Raw genomic sequence first — 13,104 nt, 5'->3', positions numbered from 1 at the left:
AAATGGCCACCAAGCCCCAGCAGAGAACTCCTGGCCCCAACAATCCCAGAGGAAGAGAGAGCCCTGGTGCCCCACCACGGCCATGGTGTGAGCTGGTGGCAGGGTGGCACTTGAACTTCAGTTCCTTAGTTGTACCTGCCACACCACACTGCCACCCCACTGGCTGTCACCCAGAGTCTGACATCTCCTGAAAACAGGGACAACTTGGTCTGTGTCTTAGTCTGTGAGCACCCTGAGATCAGGGACTCCCTTTTATTTTTTTGGAGACGGAGTCTCACTCTGTCGCCCAGGCTGGCGTGCAATGGTGGGATCTCGGCTCACTGCAACCTCCGCTTCCTGGGCTCAAGCAATTCTCCTGCCTCAGCCCCCTGAGTAGCTGAGATTACAGGCATGCACCACCACACCCAGCTAATCTTTGCATTTTTAGTAGAGATGGGGTTTCACCATGTTGGCCCGGCTGATCTCAAACTCCCCACCTTGGGCGATCCCCCCGCCTCAGCCTCCCAAAGTGCTAGGATTACAGGCATGAGCCACAGTGCCCAGCCAGGGCCCCCTTCTTTTTTTTTTTTTTGAGACGGAGTCTCGCTCTGTTGCCCAGGCTAGAGCGCAGGGCGTGATCTTGGCTCATTGCAAACTCTGCCTCCCGGATTCATGCCATTCTCCTGCCTCAGCCTCCCGAGCAGCTGGGACTACAGGCGCCTGCCACTGTGCCCGGCTAATTTTTTGTATTTTTAGTAGAGACGGGGTTTCACCATGTTAGCCAGGATGGTCTGGAGCTCCTGACCTCGTGATCCATCTGCCTCGGCCTCCCAAAGTGCTGGGATTACAGGCGTGAGCCACTGCACCCGGCCAGGGACCCCTTCTTAATTATACTGTTTTCTTCACTGCGGCACATGCCTTTACATAGGAATAGCTTGACAGATGAATGAAGCAGCATCTAGGTGCCCATGTTCCATAGGCTAGGATGTGTGCACACCCAGGCACGCCAGCCTTGGAGTTTCCTACAGGGGTGTCTTAGCGATCCCTGTGGGTGACTTGGGGATAGTGAAGGACTCAGGCAGGTCCCTGCTGTAGGTTGAGCCAGAAAAGAAGGACGCCCCACTCACCAAACTGGAAATTGGTATAGTTGGGGCACACATGATAGCAAGCACTGAGCAGCCCCTCCATCATCAGGGCTGTGCCCATGGCGTAGAAAAGCCCAAAGTGTTTGGGGATCCCACATTCCTGTTGGGGAGAGAGAGAAGGGAAGGGAGGGAGGAAGTGAGGCAGGAAGGGAAGAAGGGACCCAAAAGAGGGACCCTAAGAGGAGTGGAAGAGGAAAAGGGGTGGGGTATGTGTCGAGTGTGGGTGTGCAGGGGTGGGCTGGCCTGGGCAGGCTGGCAAGGGAGGGCAGGGCAGGGTGGGGCAGGCTGGGCTGGATAGGGTGGGCCAGACAGAACTGGGGAGGGGAGAGCTGGGGAAGGCAGGGCCAGGCCTGCCCAAAAGGGTGTCCTGGAGCCAAGGCTTGAGGTCTGTGCTGGAGCTGAGGCTGCGGCAGGCAGGCAGGTGCTCCCTTACCAGGGCACAGAGGTCATTGCGCAGCAGGGCCCGGTTGTGGTTGATCTCCCGTTGCAGGATGATGAGCAGGAAAAGCAGCCCCAGCAGGATGTACCCCAGGTTGCTGAGGATGTTGTTGAAGGCGCTAGAAGGGGCAACACAAGGCAGACTGCTTGGGACTCACACCCAGGCCTCTTCCCTAGCCCACGTGGGCATTGCAAAGCCCCAGGCCCTGCCCCATTTCACCCTTGGCCTGGACAAGGGGCCTCCCAGCATGACCCCCACCTGAGATTGCCCAGTGGGTGGGCGCAGAGGAAGTTGTAGTAGCAGATGTCCTGATTCCCTGTGACATTCACCACCTGTAGCAGGAGCAGGGACAGGGAGTGGGTCTGTCGTCACGCCCAACTCAGCCCACGCCCCGCCATCCGGGCCCCTTTGGCAAAAAACAGCAAGTGCCACCACAGCTAGCAGGTGGGAATACACAGCACCGCAGGCACGTGTTCCTTCTGAGAACATGGATGCCATGCAGCACAGTCGCTGTCCCCTCTCATTAGGCGTGGCTGAAAACCCTGAGGCATGACCGTGATGGAAGTTCTTGCCCCACGGGACAGAGAAAAGGGAAGGGAAACTGATGCTTACAAAGCCCCAGGACTTTGGTTTCATAATCCGCACAAGAAACCAGGGAGGGGCTATCTTTAGTGCGGGCTGCTCCCATTTTGCAGATGAAGAAACTGACACTCAGGGTTGGGGGGGTTATGTGATTTGCCCTGGGTCACTCGGCTGGGAAGGCAGAGCTGGGATCTGAACCCAGGTCCTGTGATGGAACACCAGGGCCCCAGGCTGGGAGGCTCTGCACTTTGGGGCGGTGTCCTAGGCTGTCGGAAAGGTGAACCTGCCCTGCCCTCTCACCGTCTGGTAGGTGATCACCAGCTGCACCACAGGAAGGGCATAGAAGACAGCAATGGTGGCAATGTTCCTGCGGAGCAGGAGGGCGGCAGTGAGGTGGGTGGCACCCAAGGCTGCCACACACCCACCAACAGCAGAGCCCCAGACACTCAGCCCACTCACCAGAAGTAGATCTGGTACTTTTTCCGCAGAACACGCTTGTCCTTCCGTGCCAGGTCAGCCACATAGAGGTATTGCTGGGGAGAAGCTGGAATCAGCCCCACTTACTGCTACTTGGGAGAAGCCCCCTCCCCCAGGTTAGAGGTGGACAAGAGGGGCCTCCCTCACACAGGGCCGAATTCAGGGGGGCAGGGTTCAAGGACATCCCACTGCTGCGGCCGCTTAGACCAAGAGGGTTTGGCCAATCAGGCCGGAAGGGGTTGGAGGTCAGGTTAGTTTCCCCGGCATCTGCCCTGCCCCAGCTGAGCCCCTTCCTTCTGCTTCCCTAAATGCCACGTCAGTGGGAACATGCTGGGGCGGGAACGCAGAATGTCCCTTTCTCAGGAAACGCCTGACCAGGCCAGGCCCACGGGTCAGACCTTGGTGCGAATGACATTCTTGTCGGAATCGATGTCGGTCAATGTGTCGTAGTCATCCTCCTCCACAGAGCTCATGGAGTCCACTCGGGGCCGAGTACCTACAGGTTCAAAGGAGCGGCCTGGAAAGGGCAGGGAGGGAGGGGTTGCACCGGTGGACACAAAACCCACAGTGGCCCTCGCCCATCTGAGGCAATTGTAACAATTATTAGGCAGTAGGGAAGAGGCAAATTGTGGGCTGGGCCTCAGAGTTGGGGTGGAAGTGGGCTCAGGAGCTGGGAGGAGACATCAGGTGCTCCTAAGTCCTGGGGGATGATGGTAGACTCTAGAAGAGGCCACCACACAGGGGCCGCTCTAGCTTTGCTCTGTTCCTGGCACCCCTCATGGGCTAGGGCTTCCCAGGCCAGGACACAAGGCAGACCCCAGGCAGCAGACACAAACAACAGGATTGAACTCGGCAAGTCATGCTGATTCAAGGGTGCCCAGCCCTGTGGGTTCTGAGAAGACACTGCCTTGGCTGCCACTGGGTTAAAGACCCAGTGGGCCTGGGGTGCAGAAAGAGCATTTCTCCTTTATCCAGAGGCCAGAATGTGACCCCCATGCCTGTGAGCCCTCCCCAAGCAGGCCAGGGAGTGAGGGCGCTGGCAACGCAGACGATAAACTAGATTGTCCAGCCTGGAGAGAGCGGAGGCGCCAGCCCGCCAGCCAAAGGAGCCTGTGCTCTGCTGCTATCTCAGAAGACACAAGAGCGGGCAATTACTGGAATTACATGGGGAAGCCATGCACATAGAATCTTTCTGGCCCCACAGCCGGCAGTCAACCGGAGCCGGCAGGCACTGATTGGCAAAACAGCCCTACCCCCACCCCAGGTCTACCCATGGCAATGCACAGCTGCCGCATCTGGCCAGAGGGGAGGCGCCGCTTGAACTGGTCGTGCCCTTCAAAGGAAAGGGAAAGTTACCAGGGAACTGGGGCCAAGGAGGAGGGGATGAGGGAAGAGAGGGGTTAGGAAGACAGCAGGCCCTTCCCAGGTTCCAGCATCTGGCAGAAGAGGCAACCGCCCACCGTGACATTTTACCCAGACAACACCGTCCTGCACCACACCGCCCCTCCCAGCCTGGCCCACTCACCCTGGTAACCGTAAGAGAGGTCCCCAGTGCCAGCGCTGTCAACCAGACCATCGGTAGATCCAGAAACATTCTCTGTGGGGAACGATCAGTGGTGAGGCAGGAAGGAGAGGCCGCAGGGAAAGGGGCTCTGAGCATCTGCAGAGGGTGTGGGGGCTGGAGGAGGTGGCTCCCACTTTACCGCCTCGGAGGTGGTGGCCTAAGGAGACAAGGTCATGTCCCCAGCAAGCACGGTGCTGGCTTTGACACGTACCAAAGGAGCCATAGTTGTAACCCTCATAAGGGGAACTGCCAGGAAAAGAATCAGCCAGGACTCGAGGGTGACCTGCAATGAGAAGTCAAGGTCTGTTAGCACTGGACGAAGAGAGAGGCCTAGAGCCAGGGAGAAGAACAAAGAAAGGTCCAGAGAAGACAGCCACAGGGAGGCCATGCCAGCAGACGAGAAGCAGCACCTATCCAGGCAAACACACCCCACTGCTGCCACCACCACCCGCCCCAGCCCCCTGCCTGCCTCTCCCATGGAAACAGCACCACCCTTTGTCTTCCCTAAGGAGAGAGAAAGTTCAAGAACAGGCACATCTAAGTTACCAGCAACAAAGACAACACTGGCCCGCCCACGAGCCCTCCAGACAGCCCTGTGCTGCACCCTCCCTCCCCTACTCTGGACTCCAGCTCCTCTGCCCACAGCACCTGGAGCTTACCAAGGAGAGAAGCTAAGAGAGAAGGTCCCACGCAGGAGGGAGGACAGAAAGAGAGGGAGGGGTGGAAGAGAGAGAGAAGGAAAGGTTAATAATCCCAGAGACCGTGGGCCACACTGCCCAAGGCAGGCAGACACCATCGCTAGACATGGAATAAACCAAGCAACACCTCAGCCTCTGAGGTGTGCATGTTAGGGATGCATGGACATCATATCCCAGCCTCATTCCCATCTGTGGAGTGTTACCCCCATCTGAACATCCAGAAACCCCCAGCCCTTCCTCCTCCAACCCCCTAGGGAACCATCCACCACCACCCCCCAAAACACAAAGCACACTGTGCCCGCCCCACCCAGGCCCCCTGGAGGTACCGCTTTCTGGGCAGGCTCGGTCAATGGCCACCAGCAGGGTCTTCTTCTTCTGCCTGCATGGACAGAACCCACAGGCCACCCAGATGGGACAGGACAAGGATCACTCTGTATGGGGCTGACTTTCCTTCTACCTCTCTGCTCCACTCTCATCGCTATGACCCTGTCCTCCACCCTTTGTCCCAGGGTTCCTCACAGGCTGGGGAGCAACATGGGATCTCCCTGCTTGGGAAGAAGGTTGAGGGGAGGGGATGGTTTCTAGAGAGGCTCATGGGCCACAGACTCTAACAGCCCCACCATCATCTGCTATGGATGGTGTAGATTACCCTAGGCTGGCTCAGATCCTGCCAGGTGATCTGCCCCACACACCTGCCCAAACCACCCAGACCAGGGGAGGCCCAGCAGTTCCACTTTACCTCCAGTTCTCCCAGCAGGCCAGGAGGACGGTCAGCAGGTAAAAGGAGAGAAATATACCCAGGCAAAAGAGCATCCCACTGACGTATGCCTCAGCTTCAAGGAGGAAACAGGAAGGTGGACAGGTCAAAACCTTCCACCACCTCCCATCATGGCACCCAAAGGCCTTCATGTCCTCCTCCACCCAGCTCAATCTCTCACCCTTCTCCCCTCAAATGTAAGGCCCTGCCTAGCCAGTATGAACAACTGGCAGTTCCTCTAATACACCAAACTCTGACACACTCCTATTTTTGCTCATGTTGCTCCCTGGGCTAGAACTTTCTCTTCTACTTTTTTTTTTTTTTTTTTTTTTTTGAGACGGGCTCACTCTGTTACCCATGCTGGAGTGCAGTGGCACGATCATAGCTCACTGCAGCCTCCAACTCCTAGGCTCCATCCTTCCACCTCAGCCTCCTGAGTAGCTGGGACTACAGATGTGTGCCACCACGCCTGGCTCATTTTTTTATTTTTTATAGAGATTGGGTCTCGCTATGTTGCTCAGGCTGGTCTTGAATTCCTGGCTTCAAGCAATTTCCCTGCCTCAGCCTCCCAAAGTTCTGGGATTATAGGCGTGAGCCACCGTGCCTGGCCTCTCAAAAATTCCACCTTGACTTAACCCTCAAACCACAGCTCAGGGACTGTGTCCTCTAGGAAGCTTTCTCTGTCCTGTATTTCCACAGTGACCTGTTCCTTGCTCACCACAGCTCTTAACTGCCTCCTGTTCCTCTAGACAGGACCCCGCCCCCACCAAGGACTGCTGCCTTAGCATACCACCTGGCATATAGGAGGTGCTCCATAAATATTTGCTGAATAAATAATCCATGTAAGAGAGGCACCCTGGCCGGGCGCGGTGGCTCACGCCTGTAATCTCAGCACTTTGGGAGCCGGGGCAGGTGGATCACGAGGTCAGGAGATTGAGACCATCCTGGCTAACACGGTGAAACTCCTTCTCTACTAAAAATACAAAAAATTAGCCGGGCGTGGTGGCGGGCACCTGTAGTCCCAGCTACTCGGTAGGCTGAGGCAGGAGAATGGCGTGAACCTGGGAGGTGGAGCTTGCAGTAAGCCGAGATTGCGCCACTGCACTCCAGCCTGGGCAACAGAGCAAGACTCCATCTCGGAAAAAAAAAAAAAAAAGAGAGAGAGAGAGAGGCACCCTCTGGCTGGGCACGGTGGCTCATGCCTGTAATCCCACACTCTGGGAGGCCAAGGTGGGCGGATCACCTGAGGTCAAGAGTTCAAGACCAGCCTGGCCAACATGGTGAAACCCCCGTCTCTACTAAAAATACAAAAATTAGCTGGGCATGGCGGCAGGTGCCTGTAATCCCAGCAACTCAGGAGGCTGAGGCAGGAGAATCATTTGAACCCGGGAGGCGGAGATTGCAGTGAGTAGAGATCTTGCCACTGCATTACAGCCTGGGTGACAGAGCAAGAGTCCATCTCAAAAAAAGAAAGAGAGGCACCTTCTTTCCCCTCCTATCACAGTCCCTTAGGGCCCCATTTAATCATTCAGTAAATATTTATTGAGCACTGAGTAGGGGCCTGGTACTTTCCTGCTAATTTTATCTGCTAATTTTGTGCTAGCCCTCATAACTTAGTGAGATTAACTGGACAAATTTTACTCCCTCTGTTATAGAGACAGGGAAACTGAGACTCAATCTTATAGCAGTGTTTCAATGACAAATTAGGGTATGTTTCTGAATATGAGATTAAGAAACATCCTTCAGAATAAATAAGATTATAACTATGCTAACAAAGCAAAATTAAAGCTCTTTCTTACAATCAGGTTACACTGCTGATAAGTGGCAGAAAGTGAACTGGACCTCAGTTCTTCCATCTTTAGTCATGAACTCTCTGTACCACATCACACTGGAACTCACCTCCCGGCCCTCCCCATCTAGAAGCCTGCCAAGAACACTCCCCGTTCCTACCCCACCAGCATATCTGCATCCTCATCACCCACTTCAGGGCACACCCTATATCCCAGGTCTGAAAGCAGGAGCCAGAGAGGCTTGTCCATCCCCTCTCAGCCACCTGCAGCACTCACACGTGACTGCTTGAGACACCAGCACTGACAGGGTTTTCTGGCGGTGCCCTTGATCGACCGGTTCATCTGGAAGTAAAATGTCAAAGTGGTAAACTAGTTGCCTGGAGCTTGGCTAGAGTCAGTGGGATCAGGCCTTTGAGAGACTGGAGCCAAAAACCCATGTCCTATCAGGTCCACCAATCAGCCACGCAGGCTCTTCTTGCTCCCAGAAAGTGACCAAGACCTCCCCATCCCTAGCCAGGCCCAGGGCACAAAATGTACCTTCTGCGAAGGGGTAGAAAGGCAGGGAGCCCCCGCAGGCTTGGTCTTCGGTCTTCACCACCACCACCACATAAAAGCTGTTGCTGGGGAAGTCTTTGCGCTGCAGGATGATGATGATAAATATCTTCTTCATCATCATCATCATCATTCTTTTCTAAATACTTGTTCTGGGGCCAGACATTATGCTAAATTCTTCATAGATATATTTTACTTAATCCTCACAAGATTTTTTTTTTTTTTGAGACGGAGTTTCACTCCTATTGCCTAGGCTGGAGTGCCATGGCATGATCTCAGCTCACTGCAACCTCCGCCTCCCGGGTTCAAACAATTCTCCTGCTTCAACCTCCCAAGTAGCTGGGATTACAGGCGTCCATCACCACGCCCAGCTAATTTTTATGTTTTTAGTAGAGATGGGGTTTCACCATGTTGGCCAGGCTGGTCTTGAACGCCTGATCTCAGGTGATCTGCCCGCCTCAGCCTCCCGAAGTGTGGGATTACAGGCGTGAGCCACTGCGCCTGACCTTTTTTTTCTTGAGACAGAGTTTCACTCCTTTTGCCCAGGCTGGAGTGCAGTGGTGTGATCTCGGCTCACTGCAACCTCTGTCTCCCAGGTTCAAGTGATTCTCCTGACTCAGCCTCCCGAGTAGCTGGGATTACAGGCATGCGCCACCATGCCCAGCTAATTTTTCGTATTTTTAGTAGAGACGGGGTTTCAGCCTGTTGGCCAGGCTGGTCTTGAACTCCTGATCTCAGGTGATCCGCCCACCTCGGCCTCCCAAAGTGCTGGGATTACAGGAATGAGCCACCGCGCTCAGCCCTCTTATTGTTACAATGAATGAAGTAGGTATGACAGCCAGAAGGGGGTACTCTACTCTTTCCCATCCCCAAGAGCAACTGGGATTATGGTACAACTCTCATATATATCAGGGGACTCAAAGTCACAGGGACTGGAAGGCCAAAGACTCAGTCGTGTGTAGGATAGGAATGGGCAGAGGAAGAAGAGCTCAAGTTTGGAAAGCTACACAGCTTATCGCCCAGCCACACCTCCCACGTGGCCACATGCATTTCCTACCTGTACGGTGATGGCCGCCTTCTTGGTCATCGTCTGGTACATGCCGATGAAGGCTACGTTGTTGTCCAGGTCATAGACAGGACACTGCAGAGGGGCGGGAGAGGCAGATGGATGGGAACCTGGCCTGCCCCTCTCTTTAGCAGCCCTGCTGCCTGCTGGGGAAGAGCAAAAGGGCAGGCAACTCACCAGCACATCCTGAATGGAGATGACTGAGCAGGGGAAGGCCTTGTTGGAGGTCACCTTGACAATTACCGAGTCCACGCCTTCAGGGAACTCATACTTGAAGTACTGAGGGTGCAGGAAGGAAGGGAGAGCCCCATCTCATGAGGATGCTCTCTTGGCCCCTCTAGAAGGGAATAGTCCCCTATAAGCGAGGACCCAGAATCCTCTGAGGGGTGGGCAGTGGAGGCTCTCCGAGGAGACAGGCCTTGATCACAGCAGCCCCTTTCTCTGTATACCATTCCCTTCAACCTCAGCAGGGCACTCAGCAGAATGCCAGAGAGGCAACCAGACTCCATGTCTCTGTACAGTCCCATGCTGTCTGTCCCTCACCATGTCAGGGCCAGAGCTCCTGTTTCCAGAGAGCCCTCCATGGAGAAAACAGCCAATTCAAAAGGCCAAGCAAAGACCGCTGGCCACTCCCATTCTCATATTCAAGCTCCCCCATTTCTCCTCTCGAGCAATCAACAGGGAGATGTTACCTGGGGCTGTGCTGCTGTGGTATTGAAGCTGAACTGCTCCCCAGTCCTGCAGGGCAGAGAAGAGCCCCCACCAGTCACCCCCGGAGCCTGGGGAAGAACCAGCCCCCGTGGTCCCCTCACTCTACCCTGCAGACCTGAGCACAAAATCGTCCATGCGGCTGACCCGGAGCTGGTATGTGGTGTTGACTGGTGACAGGGTGGACACATCCACGTAGAAGAACTGAATCTCCGACTCATTCTTGGTGGGGGGCTGACACAGGGTTCGTTCCACTTTTTGGTAGAGGTACTTGCGCTGAAACCTATGGCCCGAAGCAGGGAGATAGGATGTGAGCACTGTCCCAGCCGGCCTGCCCCTCCAGAGGAGCGAGGCCCCACCTCGCCCCGTCTGGTCTCCACCACCTCCCTGCGAGGTGCACAAGCTCCCGGCTGGTGGGACTCGGCCCTTGTGCTGTTGACCAGCCTCCCAGCCCAGGGAAAGGGGAGGAGAAATGGGGGGGCTCCTGGTTGAGGCTCCAGCCAAGGACTGGCCTAGGCTGCCCCGCTTCCCTGATGCCCAGATCCTACTCACATCCCTCGCAGGATTAGGGGCACCTGGAAGGACACCACAGCCTCCTTCTGGCGGACCACAAACAGCAACGGCGCCCCCTTCTGCTTGTTCAGGACGTTCACAGACACACGCACGCCCTCTGTCTGCAGAACGACATGGAAATGCCTCTCAAGCCTCTGCCACCAGGGACACGTGGCTCCAGAGACTATGAGCCCTGCCCTCCTTCATGCCAGCTACTTTGGTCTTTCTCCATCTTGGTCGGGCCAGGGAGTCATCTCTGCCTCTTCTTCTGCCAGAACAACCCCCAGACTCCAGGAAAGACCTGTGCTGAGTGCAGCTCCTGGCCGGCAGACATGTGCAGGGCAGCAGGACCCAAGCAACCGCAGGGTCTCACCCTCTGCCAGGAAACACGGTGGAGGCCTTGCGAGTCTCCAGGATACCCCATTCCTATCCATGTGCACAGGATGCACAGGCCTGCACACACAAACGTGTACACACGCCCCCACACACGAAGACACAGGAGAACAAGAAGTGCTCCTCAACCTTCCTGTGAGCCAGGAAGCCAGCAGGAAGCTCTAGTTAACAGCTAACCTGGGGCCAGAGCCCAGAGGAGTTGAGGAGGGGTAGGTATTGAAGGCCATGTTGTATCCTTAGCTCCCACCAAGGGACAGGGCTGTGGAGAAGTCACTTTACTTCTCTAAGCCTCAACTTCTCCCTCTATAAAATGACAGCCGGGTGCGGTGACTCACGCTTGTAGCACTTTGGGAGGCCAAGGCAGGAGGATCATCTGAGGTCAGGAGTTTGAGACCAGCCTGGCCAACATGGTGAAGCCCCATCTCTACTAAAAATACAAAAATTAGCTGGGTATGGTGGCAGGCGCCTGTAATCTCAACTACTTGGGAGGCTGAGGCAGGAGAATCGCTTGAACCGGGAAGGCGGAGGTTGCAGTGAGCTGAGATCACAAAACTGCACTTCAGCCTGGGCAACAGAGTGAGACTGGTCTCAAAAAAAAAAAAAAAAAAAAAAAGATAAAGTGATCTTCACCCTTGGAGCTATGAAGGAACATATATAAACAATGGGAGCTTAAAGGAAAAATAAAACCAAATCGATCTTGGAATGCTTGTTATTGGGCTGCTGAAACCCAAGCCCTAGGGCAGCATTTCCCAAAAGAGTAAAAACCACAGCTCTCCAGTGCCTTTAGATATGGGAAAAAAGGAAGAAAGGACTCTAAGCAGAAAGAGATCAAACTTCAGAGAACCAGGCACTGGGGGCAGATCCTGGCCTGCCACAGAAACCAAACCACTCCCCGTTCTGAAAAAAAATCAGATTCCCCATTCTCAACTCCATTGCTTCTCAGTAAACGGCAGTCATGGAGAGAGAGCAAGAGACCCGGGCACGAGACCACACAGCCAGGTTGCAAGAATTCTCCCAATCTCAGCTCTGCCTGGGGTCTAGACTTCCCACACTAGCTGTGTCTATTTCAACTCAGGGACTCACAGCTGGTGAAGAAACCAAAGAGAAGTCAGGGTGAAGTGGATTTTTCACAGTGGACAAATTCCCCTTCTCTTCCCACCCAACTTGCAGTTGGCCTTATAAAACCTCTGTCACCCTCAATTTACAAGGCCAGCTGGCTCTCCCAGGCAGGAAGAGGGCTGGGAAGCCCTGCATTCATCTCCCTGGGGAGTCTGAGATGTAACTTGCCTGCACAGAGCTTTTCAGTTCTGGGCCAGTCTCATTCCCCTGAGGTTTTCTGGGCAAGCCCAGTAATAAGCCTGTTTCCTCTCCCACCGAGACCCCACAGAGCTGTCAGATTCTGGGGTTTAGGGTAGAGAGCAAGCCATGTGTGCTCAGACCACAACTGATGGAAGAATGGGGGCGGAAGAGAAGATGGGAATGAGCCAACTTCAAAAACTGCCCAGCTGGAGCTTCAGAGAAACATTGGTGGCAAAGGAAGGAGGACTGGTCAAGAGGCTCCAGTGTGGTTCTGGGAACTGGGAACCTAGCAGGACAGCTCGTTCCTGGGGCCTCCCAAAAGGGTAGCGGGGCGGCAGAATCGCCTAGCCCTCGTCGGCTTCCCCACTCGCCTCTGGCCCCTAAGCCCCCAGCCCTCACCCTGTTGCGGGTCACAGTATGGTTGAAGGTGTAGATGTTGACCAGCTCGCTGTTGACCTCGTCCACGTAGGTGCGCTCAAACTCGGCGTCTTTCTGCGAGACGTTCTTGGGCCCCAGAACCCCCAGATGGCTCTCGACCGAGGCCACCAAGAGCACCAAGAAGGGCAAGCCCAGAGCGAACATGGCCCCGGCAGGGCGGCAGTGGCAGCGGTGGTGGCGGCGGCGGCGGCGACAGGAGACAGGACACCTCCGGGACGGGTTGCGGCTGCGGCCGCAGCTTCCAGCATCTCACCAGGACCAGAACTTTAACCCCGGCCTGAGATTAGGAAATGTCCCCTCCCAAGAGCCCCGAAGAGGCTCCCAGGGTCCCCGCAGGGGAGGGGGCGGCCGGGAGGGGGCGGGGAGGGAGGGGATGCTGGCTACGGGAAGGGGTCCCAGCTCGCGAGGGGCTGAGTACGACCTGAGACCCTGGAGCCCCGGGCCAGGGCCGTGAGAAGGAGGGCGGCTGGTTGCCGGGAGCCTGGAGACGCCGGGAAAGGGGAGGGAGGAAGAGCCGGCGGCGGGGGCTGGCCGCGGAGGAAGGCGAGTCGCAGAGTGAGGGGCGTGATAGGTGGTAGCTACCCGACGCCGTGCTGGGCTGCGAGTTTTCCGAGGTGCGGGCCCTTTAAGGGCGGGCGGACGCGCCGTCCCGACGCACGAACACT

At 55.8% G+C, this 13,104-nt stretch overlaps 1 protein-coding gene across 1 annotated transcript in view, besides 7 other annotated features; it reads right to left on the bottom strand.

Moving 5' to 3' along the window:
- SIDT2 (SID1 transmembrane family member 2) overlaps positions 1 to 13,104 on the bottom strand; it is an 18,700-nt gene extending 5,596 nt beyond the window's left edge. Inside the window, exons 1-18 of the mRNA NM_001040455.2 lie at positions 12,401 to 13,104; positions 10,310 to 10,431; positions 9,876 to 10,040; positions 9,742 to 9,787; positions 9,227 to 9,328; positions 9,041 to 9,124; positions 7,969 to 8,068; positions 7,708 to 7,773; positions 5,624 to 5,717; positions 5,211 to 5,263; positions 4,398 to 4,469; positions 4,148 to 4,219; positions 3,021 to 3,139; positions 2,605 to 2,678; positions 2,446 to 2,512; positions 1,822 to 1,895; positions 1,558 to 1,681; positions 1,107 to 1,224 (exon numbers count right to left, since the gene is read on the bottom strand). Of these exons, the coding sequence (NP_001035545.1) occupies positions 1,107 to 1,224; positions 1,558 to 1,681; positions 1,822 to 1,895; positions 2,446 to 2,512; positions 2,605 to 2,678; positions 3,021 to 3,139; positions 4,148 to 4,219; positions 4,398 to 4,469; positions 5,211 to 5,263; positions 5,624 to 5,717; positions 7,708 to 7,773; positions 7,969 to 8,068; positions 9,041 to 9,124; positions 9,227 to 9,328; positions 9,742 to 9,787; positions 9,876 to 10,040; positions 10,310 to 10,431; positions 12,401 to 12,583 (1,735 nt within the window). The 5' untranslated portion in view covers positions 12,584 to 13,104. The remainder of the gene's footprint in view (positions 1 to 1,106; positions 1,225 to 1,557; positions 1,682 to 1,821; positions 1,896 to 2,445; positions 2,513 to 2,604; positions 2,679 to 3,020; positions 3,140 to 4,147; positions 4,220 to 4,397; positions 4,470 to 5,210; positions 5,264 to 5,623; positions 5,718 to 7,707; positions 7,774 to 7,968; positions 8,069 to 9,040; positions 9,125 to 9,226; positions 9,329 to 9,741; positions 9,788 to 9,875; positions 10,041 to 10,309; positions 10,432 to 12,400) is intronic.
- Positions 2,590 to 2,639: an enhancer, noted in NCBI's record as "active region_5568". NCBI's record gives its function as "activates an Ori minimal core promoter by ATAC-STARR-seq in GM12878 lymphoblastoid cells {active_cell/tissue: GM12878}" and the evidence as "EXISTENCE:reporter gene assay evidence [ECO:0000049][PMID:35858748]".
- Positions 3,626 to 4,126: an enhancer, noted in NCBI's record as "H3K4me1 hESC enhancer chr11:117058437-117058937 (GRCh37/hg19 assembly coordinates)". NCBI's record gives its function as "activates a minimal SCP1, AML or CMV promoter by ChIP-STARR-seq in primed H9 embryonic stem cells {active_cell/tissue: H9 hESC(primed)}" and the evidence as "EXISTENCE:reporter gene assay evidence [ECO:0000049][PMID:30033119]".
- Positions 9,627 to 10,422: an enhancer, noted in NCBI's record as "H3K27ac-H3K4me1 hESC enhancer chr11:117052141-117052936 (GRCh37/hg19 assembly coordinates)". NCBI's record gives its function as "activates a minimal SCP1, AML or CMV promoter by ChIP-STARR-seq in naive H9 embryonic stem cells {active_cell/tissue: H9 hESC(naive)}" and the evidence as "EXISTENCE:reporter gene assay evidence [ECO:0000049][PMID:30033119]".
- Positions 10,129 to 10,188: a silencer, noted in NCBI's record as "silent region_3933". NCBI's record gives its function as "represses an Ori minimal core promoter by ATAC-STARR-seq in GM12878 lymphoblastoid cells {active_cell/tissue: GM12878}" and the evidence as "EXISTENCE:reporter gene assay evidence [ECO:0000049][PMID:35858748]".
- Positions 10,659 to 10,718: an enhancer, noted in NCBI's record as "active region_5567". NCBI's record gives its function as "activates an Ori minimal core promoter by ATAC-STARR-seq in GM12878 lymphoblastoid cells {active_cell/tissue: GM12878}" and the evidence as "EXISTENCE:reporter gene assay evidence [ECO:0000049][PMID:35858748]".
- Positions 11,746 to 11,815: an enhancer, noted in NCBI's record as "active region_5566". NCBI's record gives its function as "activates an Ori minimal core promoter by ATAC-STARR-seq in GM12878 lymphoblastoid cells {active_cell/tissue: GM12878}" and the evidence as "EXISTENCE:reporter gene assay evidence [ECO:0000049][PMID:35858748]".
- Positions 12,796 to 13,005: a silencer, noted in NCBI's record as "silent region_3932". NCBI's record gives its function as "represses an Ori minimal core promoter by ATAC-STARR-seq in GM12878 lymphoblastoid cells {active_cell/tissue: GM12878}" and the evidence as "EXISTENCE:reporter gene assay evidence [ECO:0000049][PMID:35858748]".

The sequence above is a fragment of the Homo sapiens genome, chromosome 11 (assembly GCF_000001405.40).
Source record: "Homo sapiens chromosome 11, GRCh38.p14 Primary Assembly".
In the NCBI taxonomy this organism is placed as follows: domain Eukaryota; kingdom Metazoa; phylum Chordata; class Mammalia; order Primates; family Hominidae; genus Homo; species Homo sapiens.
Note: the sequence above shows the minus strand (reverse complement) of the source record. Positions and strands in the feature narration are given on the sequence as shown.